Genomic DNA, 15,238 nt, shown 5'->3' with positions numbered 1-15,238 from the left:
CCAAGCCCGGTCAGACACCAAGACCTGTAGACTTTACCTCCTTAATATTTTCCAGTTAAGTCCCCTCTTTTTCTTTCCCTAATTTGGTTGGCTTAGCTAGGGTCCTTAATGCCTCCTGCCTGGACCACTATACCTCCCTACCTCATTTGAGTTATATGTGACCCCTCCTCCTTCCATCTATATGGAAGATCACTGTGCTCTGTGATCTTTGTAAAGCCCAAATATGATCATATCATTCCTTCTCCTCCTTTAAAACCCCTTTGGTTCTCTGTTGCCTACAGGATAAAGCTGAAGATGAGTACAGAAAACAGGTCCTCTGCAATGTGAAGCCTCCCTTTCTGGCTTTGAACCTCTTGTCATGCTGCCCCCAAGCACCCTCCTCCTGGGCTGCCATGCCTTCTCTGTGGTCCCTTGCAAGCACTGTTTATCTTTCAAGATTTAGCTCTTGATGGGGTCACCTCCTACCTGGCAACTTCCCCAACCCCCTCTAGGTCCTAAGGACTGACCTCTTCTTCTTTGTGCTCCTTTCCAGTACCCTGTGACTGTCATGGCAACTGTATCACTTTAGTATGTGGTTTATTTAAAAATTATAAATGGGGTCAGGTGCTGTGGCTCACACTTGTAATCCCAGCACTTTGGGAGGCTGAGGCGGGTGGGTTACTTGAGGTCAGGAGTTTGAGACCAGCCTGCTCAGTGAAACCCTCTCTCTACTAAAAAATACAAAAATTAGCTGGATGTGGTGGTGCATGCCTGTAATCCCACCTACTTGGGAGGCTGAGGCAGAAGAATTGCTTGAACCTGGGAGGCGGAGGTTGCAGTAAGCCGAGATCATGCCACACTGTGCTCCAAACTGGGCAACAGAGTGAGACTATTTTTTAAAAAAAAAAAAAATTATAAATGGGCTACTGTTTACTTGTCTTTGCCCTGCTTTGACCATATGCCTCTGGAGGGCAGGATCCTGGTCTTTTCACATCTCTGTATCCCCACAAAAAGGTTCAATTCATTTACCTTAAGGACTTCATGTTCCTTAAATCAGCTCTAAAGGCCAGGCTTTCTGATCTCTTTCTTTTTTTTTTTTTTTCTTTTTTTGAGACGGAGTCTTGCTCTGTCGCCCAGGCTGGAGTGCAGTGGCACGATCTCGGCTCACTGCAAGCTCCGCCTCCCGGGTTCACGCCATTCTCCTGCCTCAGCCTCCTGAGTAGCTGGGACTACAGGCGCCCGCCACCACGCCCGGCTAATTTTTTGTATTTTTTTAGTAGAGACGGGGTTTCACCGTGTTATCGAGGATGGTCTCAATCTTCTGACCTCATGATCTGCCCGCCTTGGCCTCCCAAAGTGCTGGGATTACAGGCGTGAGCCACTGCGCCCGGCCTAGGCTTTCTGATTTCTAGCCCAGGGCCCATTTTGGCTACACCAGACAGTATAAATAGCAATAGGAATGGATGTACTTCACTTGGAATTCCTGGGCTTGGGAAAACTGGCATGGGAAAGGCCAGGAGTTTTCTGCTGGGGTTTGGATCCTCTTCTGGAACAACCCCCCATAATTCAGTAGACTAAAGTACTGAGGGTGCTTTTGGTGAGGCAACCGCCTGCCCTTCCAATTCCTTCAGACAAAGATTAGACAGATGGATCCTGTGAAGGTTATGGCGAAAGAAGGAACATTTCCATCGAGGGAGCTTTACCATTTCTTCCCACGAAACTAGGTGAAAGGTAGTGGAGTCTGCCTAGTTACTGAGGCCAAATGATCTCATAATTACTGCTGGGAGGGGCCGTCATGCCTTAGTTTGCTTTACTTTGCTAGAGTGTAAAGGGTAATGCTTAGATATTAGATTCCAAGAAACGGAAAGGAAAGAGGATTGCTTTCCTTCATTTTATGCCTTCTTGGAAATGGAGAAGTTTCCAGGAGAAGAATCTGTATTCCATGGTCTGTGGCTTCCTAAGAGTAGCTCAAGTCCCAGTTTCTGGGAGTGGCATCTTCATAAGGATGTTTATCATATTTCAGTGTCTTAGTAAGGGCCCCAGTTTCCTCGCCTCCACACCAAATCCTCCTCCCTCAGCCTGTGTCACAGAGCTGCTCTCCGTCACACCTTACTCAAATTGAGAACACATAGGTTTTTTTTTTTTTTTTTTTTAATTTTTAAAAGCTTGGGGAATGTAAACATTTTCTACATGACTAATGAAGCTAGGCATTGTAGATAAGAGAAGCAGTGAATGTTTTAAAATCAGTCACGGTTACTGCTGGATTTTATTAGAAACACTCAGACTGGTCTAGTTTTGGGGGGTTAATATGAAATTTATAGCACAGCTGAGTAAATAAGGGTATCCACTTATTTTCAGAAATGATTTTTGAAGTTTAAACCACTTACTATGAACATTTTATAACATAGAAAACAGGTACAAAGTAGATAGAATAGTATAAACAAGGCAATCTTGTTTCATCTATATACCTGTAGCCCACCACTCCTACCTCCTACTGGTTTTGAGACAAATCCCAGACCACACTATCTTTTCATCTGTAACTATTGCAGTGTATAACTCTACAAGATAAAGATTCTTTGAAAAAATAAACACAATACCAATATCAAACCTTAAGGCTAAAAATTGTAATTGATTTTTAAAAAAATGAGTGAAATATGGCTGTTTTTCAGGGAAACTATTAGCACAATGTAGTAGTATTTAGGATTGGAGTGGACTAAAGCATCTCTAGGCACACTGTTGGGTATCTGGTTACCCAGTAGGGGACTTGGGAGAGTTCCTGTTCTCACACTAGTCCACATGGCTCTTGCTAGCACAGCAGTAGGAGCTGCCTACTTTGACATCACCAGGTACCAGGACCCCTTTTCTCTTGCCCTTCCTGCTCTGGCTATACTGGAGAGAGGAAGAAATGGAAATGCCATTCCCCAATCTCAACACCTGAGTCAGATTCGGCTCTCTTGAAGCTGAAGAAGAGAGATTCCCAATGACACGAATCAGCATGAAAGGAATTATGGTTGTGAACAGAATGTATCAAAGTGGGTGGTGTCCATGACTCTAGGTGGGATGATGGAGTCACTCTGCATCCTGTCTGTGCCTCAGGCTGCAGCTGCTTCTCTTTAATCTGCCCTCCCACCCCCTCCTCACCCCCCACTCCCCACCACATACCCAAGAGACAGTGAGAGAAACCTGAGCAGCAGCAGACATGGGGTGATGTGATATCCAGGCTGCCCACTTCCTCTGGCCCGTCAATACTTTGTGTCAGCAAGTCCTCAGGCTGTGCTGGCCCTCAAGATTGTCTGGATTTTTCATATGAAAAAAAGCTCAACATCACTGATCATTAGAGAAATACAAATCAAAACCACAATGAGATACCATCTCACACCAGTGAATGGCGATTATTAAAAAGTGAAGAAAAAACAGATGCTGGCAAGGCTGCAGAGAAAAAGGAACACTTTTACATTGTTGGTGGGAGTGTAAATTAGTTCAATTATTGTGGAAGAGAGTGTGGCAATTCCTTAAAGACCCAGAGGCAAAAATACCATTTGACCCAGTAATCCCATTACTGGGTATGTACCCAAAGGAACAGAAATCATTCTGTTATAAAGATACAGGCACAAGTATGTTCACTGCAGCATTATTCACAATAGCAAAGTCATGGAATCAACCCAAATGCCCATCAATTATAGAGTGGATAAAGAAAATGTGGTAAATATACACCATGGAATACTACGCATCCATAAAAAAGACTGAGATCATGTCCTTTGCAGGAACATGGATGGAGCTGGAAGCCATCATTCTCGGCCAACTAATGCAGGAAAAGAAAATCAAACACCGTATGTTCTCACTCTTAAGTGGAGGTTGAACGATGAGAACACATGCACACAGGGAGGGGAACAACACACACTAAGCCCTGTCAGGAGAGGTGGGAGGGAGAGCACCAGGAAGAATAGCTAATGGATGCTGGACTTAATACCTAGGCAATGGGTTGATCTGTGCAGCAAACCACCATGGCACCCGTCTACCTATGTAACAAACCTGCACATCCTGCACATATACCCTGGAACTACAAATAAAAGTTGAAGAGGAGAAGAAAAGAAAAGATTGTCTGGGTTTTCATATGAACATCCTCATTTATCTTGGAGACTTTACAAGGTTTGTAACAATTCTGTATAGATCTAAAAAATGAGCAGTACGTTTGAAACAAAATATGGAATTCTAGGTACAAAAATCAGCTCTCAAAAGTATTAGATTCTCTGAATTGATCAATCATAAACATATACTTCAAAGGGCACCTGTCCCCTTATCTTTGCAAAAGGTTCTTGCCAATTCTTAGAACAAAAAATCTGCGGAATTCAGTTCATAAAAAATGGCTTTTACAAAACAATAATTCATAACATCTCCTTGAATGGCTTCAGATACCAAATAGGCAAGTTACCTTAGAGAGGGCACGGAAGAAAGGTCTTTTCTAAGCTAGAAGGCCAGCTTGTTCTTAAGGCAGACAGACATCTGCACAGTATGGTTTGCTCAGTAGTGGGGGATAATGGAAAGGGCTCTTGTCCTTAAATTCCATAAATTCTCTTGCCACCACCCTGGCCCCTACCACAGTGTGCTCCACCTGTTTTTTTCTTGGAATAATCTTCTTTGGAAAAGGTAGGCCAGGACTGGTGGTGGTGGTGGTATTAGTGGTGGTGGAGTGCTGGAAGGCCTCTCTCTTTTTTTTTTTTGAGATGGAGTTTCACTCTTCTTGCCCAGGCTGGTGGGCAATGGCGTGATCTTGGCTCACTGCAACCTCTGCCTCCTGGGTTCAAGTGATTCTCCTGCCTCAGCCTCCCTAGTAGCTGGGATTACAGGCGCCCACCACCACGTCCAGCTAATTTTTGGTATTTTTTAGTAGAGACAGCGTTTCACTATGTTGGCCAGGCTGGTCTCGAACTCTTGACCTCAGGCGATCCACCTGCCTCAGCCTCCCAAAGTGTTGGGATTACAGGCATGACCCACAGCACCCAGCTGGCCTCTGTATGTTTTACAGCTCATTGTTTTCTGTTATGCATATAACAACATGCATGCATGAAGTCACTGATGGAGTCTTTCCATCACAGCTGAGAGAAAGCCAGTTTTACTGAGAAAAGACAGAAAACTATTGTCCAGGAAAGTTCAATGTCAACATCTCTGTGGGGAGAGCAGAAGGTGACTGGGCAAAGATGTCTTTGAAGAGACAAAGGAAGGGAGACATGAAAGAGGATGTGGGAGGACTCTGAAGCCTCAGGGTTTTGTCTGCAGGGGTCCTGTTTTCTTTTAACTAGTTAATAGGACACTGGCTCTGCAGAGAAATACACAGACTGAAACAACACTTACTAAAACTAGAAGTGAGAATATAAATAAGGCTGAAGAATTTTCCTCTCTTCCATTAAAAGTCATTTCAGGTGCGCCTGAGCCATACAGTTTCTGAAAGATCAGTCTGTGAATTCCATAAACTAGAGGTTCTCAAACTGTGGCCTAAGAACTTTCTATGTCAGAACGATTTAGGCATGGGACTTGTAAAAATGCACTTCTTAGGTCTACTTCAGACCTTTTAAAAACTTAAATCTTATACCCACCAAAATCTTGGGACTACTGAGCTGAGTGTCAACCAAGCCAAGACTACTGGGCCAACTGGGAAGCGAGTCAATTACTATTGTTACTTTCATCCAGCAATCTTCTAAGGAGGGCTGGGAGAGAGTGGTAAATTTATCAGTACTACTGATAGATAATGGGGAAAAACAATCCCCATTAATGATCAATCTGTAATGCTACTTCAGGAAAGAAGTTTCCAAATACTTAGTAATTCGGATTTTGGATGATTAGTTAGATACATTATCCAAAATCAAAATATGGGCCACATCTGAGTTTTCTTTGGGAAATGAAATTACTGGTTTTTTTTAATTTTATTTTTTGCTATGATCTGTGTTTGTCAAGGTTTCTACAATGAGCTTTGTAGAATCATAGATTTTAATTAAAAAAAATCTTTAAAGAAGAGAAGTAATAGAGACCACATTTAATTTAGAGACACCAGTTGTACGTGGTACCTTAAACTAGACCAGATTTCAAGGAAATATTTACAGACGGATTTTAAGCAGGGGGCTCACAGAAAAATCTAGAAGTTTTATAATGCATACATGTAAATACACATTAGGAAAAGCATTTTAGGCCAGGCGCGGTCGCTCACGCCTGTAATCCCAGCACTTTGGGAGGCCAAGGCGGGTGGATCATTTGAGGTTGGGAGTTTGAGACTAGCCTGGCCAACATGGTGAAACCCCATCTCTACTAAAAATACAAAAACTAGCTGGGTGTGGTGGTGGGCGCCTGTAATCCCAGGCTACTAGGGAGGCTGAGGCAGGAGAATTGCTTGAACCTGAGAGGCAGAGGTTGCAGTGAGCCCACATCACACCATTACACTCCAGCCTGGGTGGCAGAGTGAGACTCCATCTCACAAAAAAAAAAAAAGAAAAAAAAGAAAAGAAAAAGCATTTTAGGGAGGGGTTTGAATGAGTTTGCTTCAAAATTATGACTGATGTAAATATTCAGGTGAAGAACGTGAAGATGAGATTAGGAGTTAGTGGGTGAATGTGCTGAATTCAAATCCTATCTGTTTTTGCTTTTGTTTTATCTAGTATTCAGTGGGATAGTTAGCCTTCTTGTTGAAGTATCTTCATAGGCATATTAGGAATAATAATTCCTTCTTAGGACATTGTGAGACTTTAGTAACATTCATAGATTTTTTACATAAAAAGGTATGCATAAATACACTAAGACAAGGCTTAAAAATGTGTTTTAGCCAGAAAAAAAGTGTTTTGATTTGATTTGAAAATTTTTAACGCGAGGAAACAGAGATTTCAGCAGATATAATCCTATGACCATCTAAGGTTGTCACAATTATCAGGTAGGTTCTGTCTCCTGTTTACCATTGAAATGCCTGCAATTCAGAAGTATATTTTATCAAGAGCCTCTAACGAGCTGGTTCCTATATTCCTAAAAAAATCCTCATTGGGGGAGCTCTGCTTATTAGAATTAAAACTATATTATCTGTTTTAGCAAAAAAAAACTTATACCAGGACTAGCCATTGCAGTGGTAATTGTGAAATGTTGCTGTGTGCCAGCATTATTATTTATAGTTCTCCCTTGTATGGCATGATCAAATGGCCTAAATAAAGAGAAGGAATATGGGAAGAAGAGGAGAAAGGCTGGAAGCCTACTGATTGTCCTTTGAGCACCTGCATAGTTTTCAGGCTATAAAAGGCAAGGAAGATAACCACTGAAACAGTGTGAAGGTGACAAAGTAGAGGACGGGGGCCCTGAGTCAATCCTGAAAGCAGTTGCAAACAGCCTGCTTTCCTCTGCAGCGCCAATGAGGACCCAGTCTGTAGTTTGGAGCAATCCATAGCCCAGAGCCTACATGCATCTGTGTACCTAATTTCACAGTTTGATGTGAGACTTAATTTGAGGGACAATGATTACAACATTACAAAGTTGTCTTCATGCTGTTACATTTCAGATAAACCCAGCTAACAGTATTTTAATGTCTAAAAGGTATCTATCTCCTCTACAAAGTAGGGGATCTTAAGCTTAAGAAAAAAATATATAATTATGTTCTTTATATTTTTTCCTCTGCCATAATACACGCTCATTCTAGAAAATTCAAACATTACCAACACCATGAAAAAAAAGACACAAAAAATAAGAAAACATAATTTAGAGAATTTAGAGAATATCATCATTTTTAACATTTTAGGGAACATTTTTCCAGGCCTATTTCAATAAATAGACATGTCAATATAGAATTTTGTATAATAGGATCATTTTATACATGTTTTATGCAATTAAAAAAAGGTCAAAGATAGTCCTGAGACTATTCTATCCCCATGATTAGAGATAAATGCCACCTTTCATGAATGCTATAAAATATACCATTGTGTTAATGTGTAGTTCATTAATCTAATACAGAACGATGGTCCTTTGTAATGCCTTATTTTATTATGTCACACAATTTTTTCATTTTGGTTAAATTTATCCATCTTTCCCTTTATAACTTCTGAATTTAATTCCATGCATTGTAAGACTTCCTACTTCCATATTATATAGTAGTTTTTGTTTTCTTCTAGTACTTTTATGGTTTCTTTTTTTCTGTGTTTAAATACTTGATTGATCAGGGGCTTATTTTAATTACGAAATGGAGTAGATTTCCAGCTCTAGTTTTTCCCAAATGGCTAACCAGTTGTTCCATCTTTTCCCCATGGATTTGAAAATACCTCCAGATATATTTGGATTTCCTTCTGAACCTTCATTAGGATAGCTTCATCATGATAAGCTATGGGTCTATCTTTTTATTACTCAGATTTGACTTGGCTATTTCTGAATGCTTCAATCTTTCAGAATAAGTTTAGAATCATTCTGAAATGTTTTCTCAAGAGAGTCACTGAGATTTTGTTTGGAGTTGCAGTGACCTTATACATTTAAGAAATACTTCATAAGTTTTCCTTTTGAGGAAGGTAAACTCCATTTATTCAAGTTTTCCCCTTTAGTAGGTGTGTTGTTTTACTTGAAGTCTTATTAAATCGATTTCTGGGTATTTTATATTTTTTGATGCTAGTCTGTAACTCTTTCTCCAATTTATTTTATTAACTTTTTATTGTTAATTAAGAAAGGTAATTGACTGTATTAGTCCATTTTCATACTGCTTTGAAGAAACACCGGAGACTGGGTAATTTATTAAAAAAAAAGAGTTTTAATGGAGTCACTGTTCCACATGACTGCGGAGGCCTCACAATCACGGTGGAAGGTGAAGGAGGAGCAAAGGCACGTCTTACATGGTGGCAGACAAGAGAGCGTGTGCAGGGGAACTACCCTTTATAAAACCATCAGTTCTCATGAGACTTATTCACTACCATGAGAACAGCATGGGAAAAACCTGCTCCCATGATTCAATTACCTCCCACTGGCTCCCTCCCATGACATGTGGGGATTATGGGAGCTCCAGTCAAGATGAGATTTGAGTGGGGACTCAGCCAAACCGTATCATTGACTTTTATAATTTTTCTGATAATCAGTCAACTTACTAAGTACTACTATTTCTAATTGCTTTTGTGTTTGTTCCCTTGAGTTTTAAAAATACAATCAATTTTGGCCAGGTGCGGTGTCTGTAATCCCAGCACTTTGGGAAGCTGAGGCAGGATGATCACTTGAGGTCAGGAGTTCAAGATCAGCCTGGTGAACATGGTGAAACCCTGTCTCTACAAAAATATAAAAATTTTTTGGGCATGGTGGCACGTGCCTGTAATCCCAGCTACTTGGGTGACTGATGCACGAGAATCACTTGAGTCCAGGAGGTGGAGGTTGCAGTGAGCTGAGGTCATGCCACTGCACTTCAGCCTGGGCAACAGAGTGACTCTGTCTCCAAAAAAAAAAAAAAAAAGCAAAACCAAAAAACAAAGAAACAATCAATTTTATCTATATTCAACATATAGACATATATGAAATATCTATATATTTCAACATACGGAAAGTCCAACCTCTTGCAGGTTACTTTTGATCCACTGTCTTTAGTGTTCCTATTGCATTCAACCTCTGACATACTTCTTTCTTGAGGACTTTGCCACATGGAATCTTCAATGGCCATGTGGGTGGAATGGCATCCAGTAATAATGGCCTTATCACCAGCAACCTTTACTGACATTTCACATAATCCCTCGTGGTCAATACCAGGCTTGCATCATGGCTCAGACGGTTGTGTACAGGAATGTTTTGTCAATATGTCATCTCTAATATCCCCATATCTGCCTGTAATCTCCTATCCTTCCAATTCTCATCCCTTGCCATTCTCACCACCTGTGTGTTTCAGCCTCAGAGAAAAGCATCAGCTATTGATGTTTCCATATTCTCCTCATCAATCAACCTCTTCTGGACTTATTTCTGGAGGCAGCTCAGGCCATATATGTGATTGTTCACTCCCAATTTCCAATCATGCTAATCGTTCTGCCATGCCCACTCAGATAAAATCCCCAAATCAGCCTTTTAAACTTCTAATACCAAGATTCTGACCACATTGTAGGGAAAAAAATACCAGTCTTTATTGTGGATCAGTCCTTTTGCTGGGCCCTCAACGGTGCCTAGACATCCTGTTTTATTTCGTCAGCTCGTATTTCACACTCTCCATGTTCCTCAAGCCCCTGATGAAACACAACTCATCTTTCTTGGTGAAAGGGGCCTTGTCATGACTTCACTAAGAAAACTGAAACTTGAAGTCATTATACAAGAGCACCCACATTTCTTTCCCAGACCTCTAATTACTTATATCTGCATAGACTGCATCTATTCATTCCTCCACTTTCAGAAGGCAAGGTCTCTCTCTTACTCATGTTCAAGCCCATTTCTGACACCTCTGGGCTTGTTCTGTCACTTATTGGGTGTGCCCCTTCATATTCTCCCTCTCTGCAGGCTGTTTCTCCGAGGTTATGTACAGGCTCACAAGGCTCTCTCTCACCTAAAAAACAAAACTTTTCATTGACTTCGCTCCTCCATTTACCTTTCTCTCTTTTCTTCACTTCTCAGACAAACTTCTTAAAGCCTACGTAGCTTCCTGAGCCACCTAGAAAATAAGTCCAGAAGGGGCTGATGGGCTAGGAGAACATGGAAACATCAAGAGCTTATGCTTCCCTCTGAGGCTGAAAAGCACAGGTGGTGAGAATGGCAAGGGATGGATAGGAGATTACAGGCAGACATGGGGACGTGAGGATGCCATATTGACAAAGAAGATTCCAGTATGCACCAATCTGAGCTGTGATGCAAGCCAGGCACTGACAGTGAGGGATTATGTGAAATGGCAGTAAAGTCTACACAGGCTATGCTGGCTTCCTCATTTCCCACTTACCCAGCCTGCAGAGTCTGGCCCTCATGCTCATCATGCTACTAAAATTTATTTGGAAAGGTTCTCTGGTGATTTCTCTATTTCCAAATGCCAAGGGCAATTTAGTAGCTGCTCTTGGTTGTACTTGCCACTGGTGACTATCTTTTGGGATTCTCCTTTCCTTGTTTGTTTTTTCATGATTCTGTTCCTCTGTTTTATTTTGTTTGGTTGTTTTTGTTTTGTTTTATTCTCTGCCGTTCTGTTTATTTCCCATCACCTTTTGTGGCCTCTTCCTTTTTTGATCTTCATCCCAACACAGAATCATTCTCAGGTTCTCTCCTCAGTTTCCTACTCTTGTTAGTGGGAAATTGGACCCACTCTCATGATTTTAACTCTTACCTATAGGCCAACAATTGCCAAATCTATCTGCTAGCTCTAAACTCTATCCCACAACTATTAAAAAAGGGAACTCATTTTTAATACCCCAAATCCCCTTCCATGGCATAATGCAATGGCATCATAATCCACGCAGCCTTTCTGAAGAGAAAAACTAAGTCATTCTGGCTTTCTCGCTCTGTCAATCCATTCCGTCACCTGGTCCTTCCAATTTTATTTCCTCAGAATTTCTCAAACTCATTCTCCCCTCTCCCCTACCAGAACAATCTCACCTGGATTGTTTTACAGCCAGCTAATTCCTGCTTCCTGCTTTGTTCTCCAACAAATCTATCTTCAACTGTCACTAGCAATATCTCGAAAAAACTCAAACCTGGCTATATCACATCCCTGGGTAAACCCTGTCAGTGGCCCCTGTGCCTTATAGATAAACCAGACCTCCTTCTCATCACAAAAACATGTCCTCTGGGACCTTCCTCCATCCTACTGCTTCTGCCTTATGTGCTGCCCTTTAAGTTTATACATTTTATCTTCTAGTAATATTAATTCTTAATAGTCACCTGGCTGTTTCACATCACTGTGTCTTATTTTAGGCTACTTTTTCCAGTTAGAATGATTTCTGTCTTTTTTTGGCAGAGTAGGCAACTGACTCCTATTCCTCCTTCAAAATTTCTCTCAGATATCATCATTTCTTCCAAGAGGCCTTCATTCAATCCCCATGCTGGGCTAGTTTCTTCCCCACTGTTCTTTTAAAAATGCCTGTACATAACACAGTAGATTGAAATTCATAGTTAATGTCATAGTAAGACATTGCTCAAATTATAGTGAACCTGACCTAATTATTATTGTTATTTTTTAAATTAAGAGACAGGGTCCTCAGGCTGAAGTGCAGTGGCATGATAAGAGCTCACAACAGCTTTGAACTCCTAGGCTCAAGCGATCCTCCCACCTCAGCCTTCCAAGTAGCTGGAACTATAGGCTTGTACCACTGCACCCGTCTAATTTCTATATTATTTGTGGTAGAGGCAGGGTCTTGTTATGTTGCCCAGGCTGGCCTCCAACTCCTGGCCTCAAGTGATCCTCCCATCTCGGCCTCCCAAAGTGCTGGGATTATAGGTGTGAGTCACCGCACCGGGCCTAATGTTCTAGGGGACACAGTTCATGCCTAATACATGCTAATAACTATAACACAGTATAATGTCTAAAAATAGTAGGTCCTCAAAAAATGTGCATTAAATTCAATTATTATGTAAATATAAGTACTTAAATGAATATAAAGTAAATTAAAATGCTAGTATAATTATTAAGTTGAAATGGGAAACTGGTACCTCTTAGGTATTCCCCAATTTCATTTCTGAGGAAAAGGGCTTTTTAACCTAAAATTGTATTCTCTATTTAAGTACAATCTTTGATTATTTTCAGACATTAAGTATATCAGAGAAGCTTGCAACTCCAGTGATAATGAATTTGGTCTCCATTTGTATTATAGGTTTAAATTATGTTACCCCATTAGGCATCTCTGCTATGACCAGTCCAGAAGGCACTGTGGCAAAGCAGGGTTGTCTGATGCAATGTGAATGCTCATATGTATCTATAAACGTGTAAGAGGATAGTTTAGGTATGTTCCAGCGGCAGTCCTGCCTTAAACAGGTATATGTTTACCTAGGGAAAGAAAAGGAAATAAAAAAATAAAGAGGCCAAACCACATAAGAAAGCAAGGACTCTATTCATATTAAAAAGGCTTTCCTTGGTTTGTTCAGTCTAATAGAATTCTTTATACAAAAACTACAGAAGCGTGCAGAGAAGTAGGGCAGTTTCTTCAAAGACTCTTCAGGTTGGAAGGGATCTAATAAATCAGGTCATTCAGCCCTCTCTCTTTACAGAGGAGGAAACTGAAGACCAAAGAGGAGAACGACTTCCCTAAAGTTTCAAAGAGTCGGTAGTAGAGCCCAAAGCCGGAAAAGAAGGAAAGAGCAAAGCAAGAGGGGACACCTAACCGGGGGCTCTGAGTCCTTCCCCCTTCTGCTCTCCCTGCGAGTCCTGCCAGCCCCAGCCAGTCACGCCACAGGAGACCCCTAAGTGCCCATCAAAAACATGCATTTGAACTTTCAAGTATCCTATCCTTGTTCTTCCCTCTGCCTGAAATAATTTTCTCCCTCCAGTTAAAGACACATTCTTCCTTGTCCATCAACCTCGCTTCAAACAGCGCCTCTAATCTCACCCCACAAAACACAAATTGGCTACATCTCTATCCTCACAGCATTTAATTACTGTGAAATTCTTATCACATGGTATTAGTTATGTGGGTATGCATCCCATTCCCCTCTCCCCAGACTGGACGCTCTTAAAGGGCAACACTTATACCTCATTTAGCCTTGTATTCCCTGCACAGAGTAAGCATTAGGTAACTGCTTGCTGAATTACTTACTTTGGATTAGAGAAGAGCGAAGATATAGCACATAAAAGTTACTGAACAGTACAGTGTCAAACTCAGATCTTAGATAAAATGGTTGTGTAACACTGCTGTGCTAATGAGTCCATTCTGACCCAAAGTCAAGAACAGGAGAATATGCTTGTCCATAGGTATGCTCAGGAACTTCTCAGGGAGTAAACCAATCAGCTAACAGAGGTTAACTCTCAGGTGCCAGACAAAAATGGAAAGCTTAATGCTAAAAATTGATAATTATCGGCTGGGCACGGTGGCTCATGCCCCTAAGCCCAGCACTTTGGGAGGCCGAGGCGGGTGGATCACAAGGTCAGGAGATCGAGACCATCCTGGCTAACACGGTCAAACCCCGTCTCTACTAAAAACACAAAAAATTAGCCGGGCGTGGTGGCGGGCACCTGTAGTCCCAGCTACTCGGGAGGCTGAGGCAGGTGAATGGTGTGGACCCGGGAGGCGGAGCTTGCAGTGAGCCAAGATCGCACCACTGCACTCCAGCCTGGGTGACAGAGTAAGACTCCATCTCAAAAAAAAATAAAAATAAAAATAAAAAAAAGGATAATTGTCATGTGGGAAAGTCAAGAATAGTGTCTTGTAGACAGTGAAAGAAAGGCCATTTGGAATATGGGGAGGGGGTTTGAAAAAGTGTGATGTCTATACAAATTACCATAATGTACAATAGAGTAGAAGCTAGTATAAGAAGATTGTGATAGCTGAACTTTCACTGCCTAAGCTCATGGACATTTAAAAAAATAATTTTTAATTTAAAAGTAATTTATAATACTTATGACATACCAACACCTACCTGAGTACATTATAAACACTGACAAATGAATTTAGGACAGAATAATAACTATAAAATTTTACTATTTTCATAATATGGTTACAAAGTAATAAATGTTGAATTGGATGTATAGAAATTAGTTTGTTAAGTATTGCCAGAAACTCAGTCTTATTATTTTATAGTCACATCTTGTTTCTGATAAAAAATGATCTAATCCAGAGTGGTTTAAAGATATTTAAACTATTCTTACTCACCAAATTTGGCTTCAAGTAACTCCAGGTTGTTTTTCAGAACCTGAATTCACTCTCAAAAGAAGAAGATTTGCCAACCTTATGACTATTCCAAGAATTGGCTCCAGGCTTTGAAAGTAACACTACAAGAAGAATTTCAAAAAGATTTTGTGCAATTGCTGCATTGTTGGAAAAGTTCTTGGGTTCCTTTGGTGACTACTTTTAAAGACACAACATTCACATGCTTTTAAAACACATCAGTCACATCACTTTATAGAAACACTCTGTACTTGTGCAAAGAAGAACCCATCTATGGTTTTTAAAAATTGGAATCCATGAATGACTGCTGTGCCAATTAGGACGTAGAGCTTCAACTGAAAAAATGAACTTCTCTACTGCTAAGCTGGAGCACAGATAAATATGCAAGTATCCAAAGAGGTACCTGTGTTTAACAATACAGAGAAAGCACAAGTGCTTAATTGACAGCTAATCTTGTCTTCTACAGAACATTAGAAATTCTTTCAATGTTAGAA

At 40.8% G+C, this 15,238-nt stretch overlaps 1 protein-coding gene across 18 annotated transcripts in view, besides 1 other annotated feature; it reads right to left on the bottom strand.

Moving 5' to 3' along the window:
- Positions 1 to 15,238, bottom strand: part of GRAMD2B (GRAM domain containing 2B) — a 134,245-nt gene that overhangs the window by 45,612 nt on the left and 73,395 nt on the right. The window lies entirely within an intron of this gene.
- Positions 2,728 to 3,927: an enhancer, noted in NCBI's record as "P300/CBP strongly-dependent group 1 enhancer chr5:125780518-125781717 (GRCh37/hg19 assembly coordinates)". NCBI's record gives its function as "activates an origin of replication core promoter dependent on BRD2, BRD4, P300/CBP, MED14 and CDK7 cofactors, with strong dependence on P300/CBP, by STARR-seq in HCT116 cells {active_cell/tissue: HCT116}" and the evidence as "EXISTENCE:reporter gene assay evidence [ECO:0000049][PMID:35650434]".

This window comes from Homo sapiens, chromosome 5 (genome assembly GCF_000001405.40).
Source record: "Homo sapiens chromosome 5, GRCh38.p14 Primary Assembly".
NCBI lineage: Eukaryota > Metazoa > Chordata > Mammalia > Primates > Hominidae > Homo > Homo sapiens.
The sequence above is the reverse complement of the archived record's forward strand: the minus strand, read 5'-3'. Positions and strand labels throughout refer to the sequence as shown.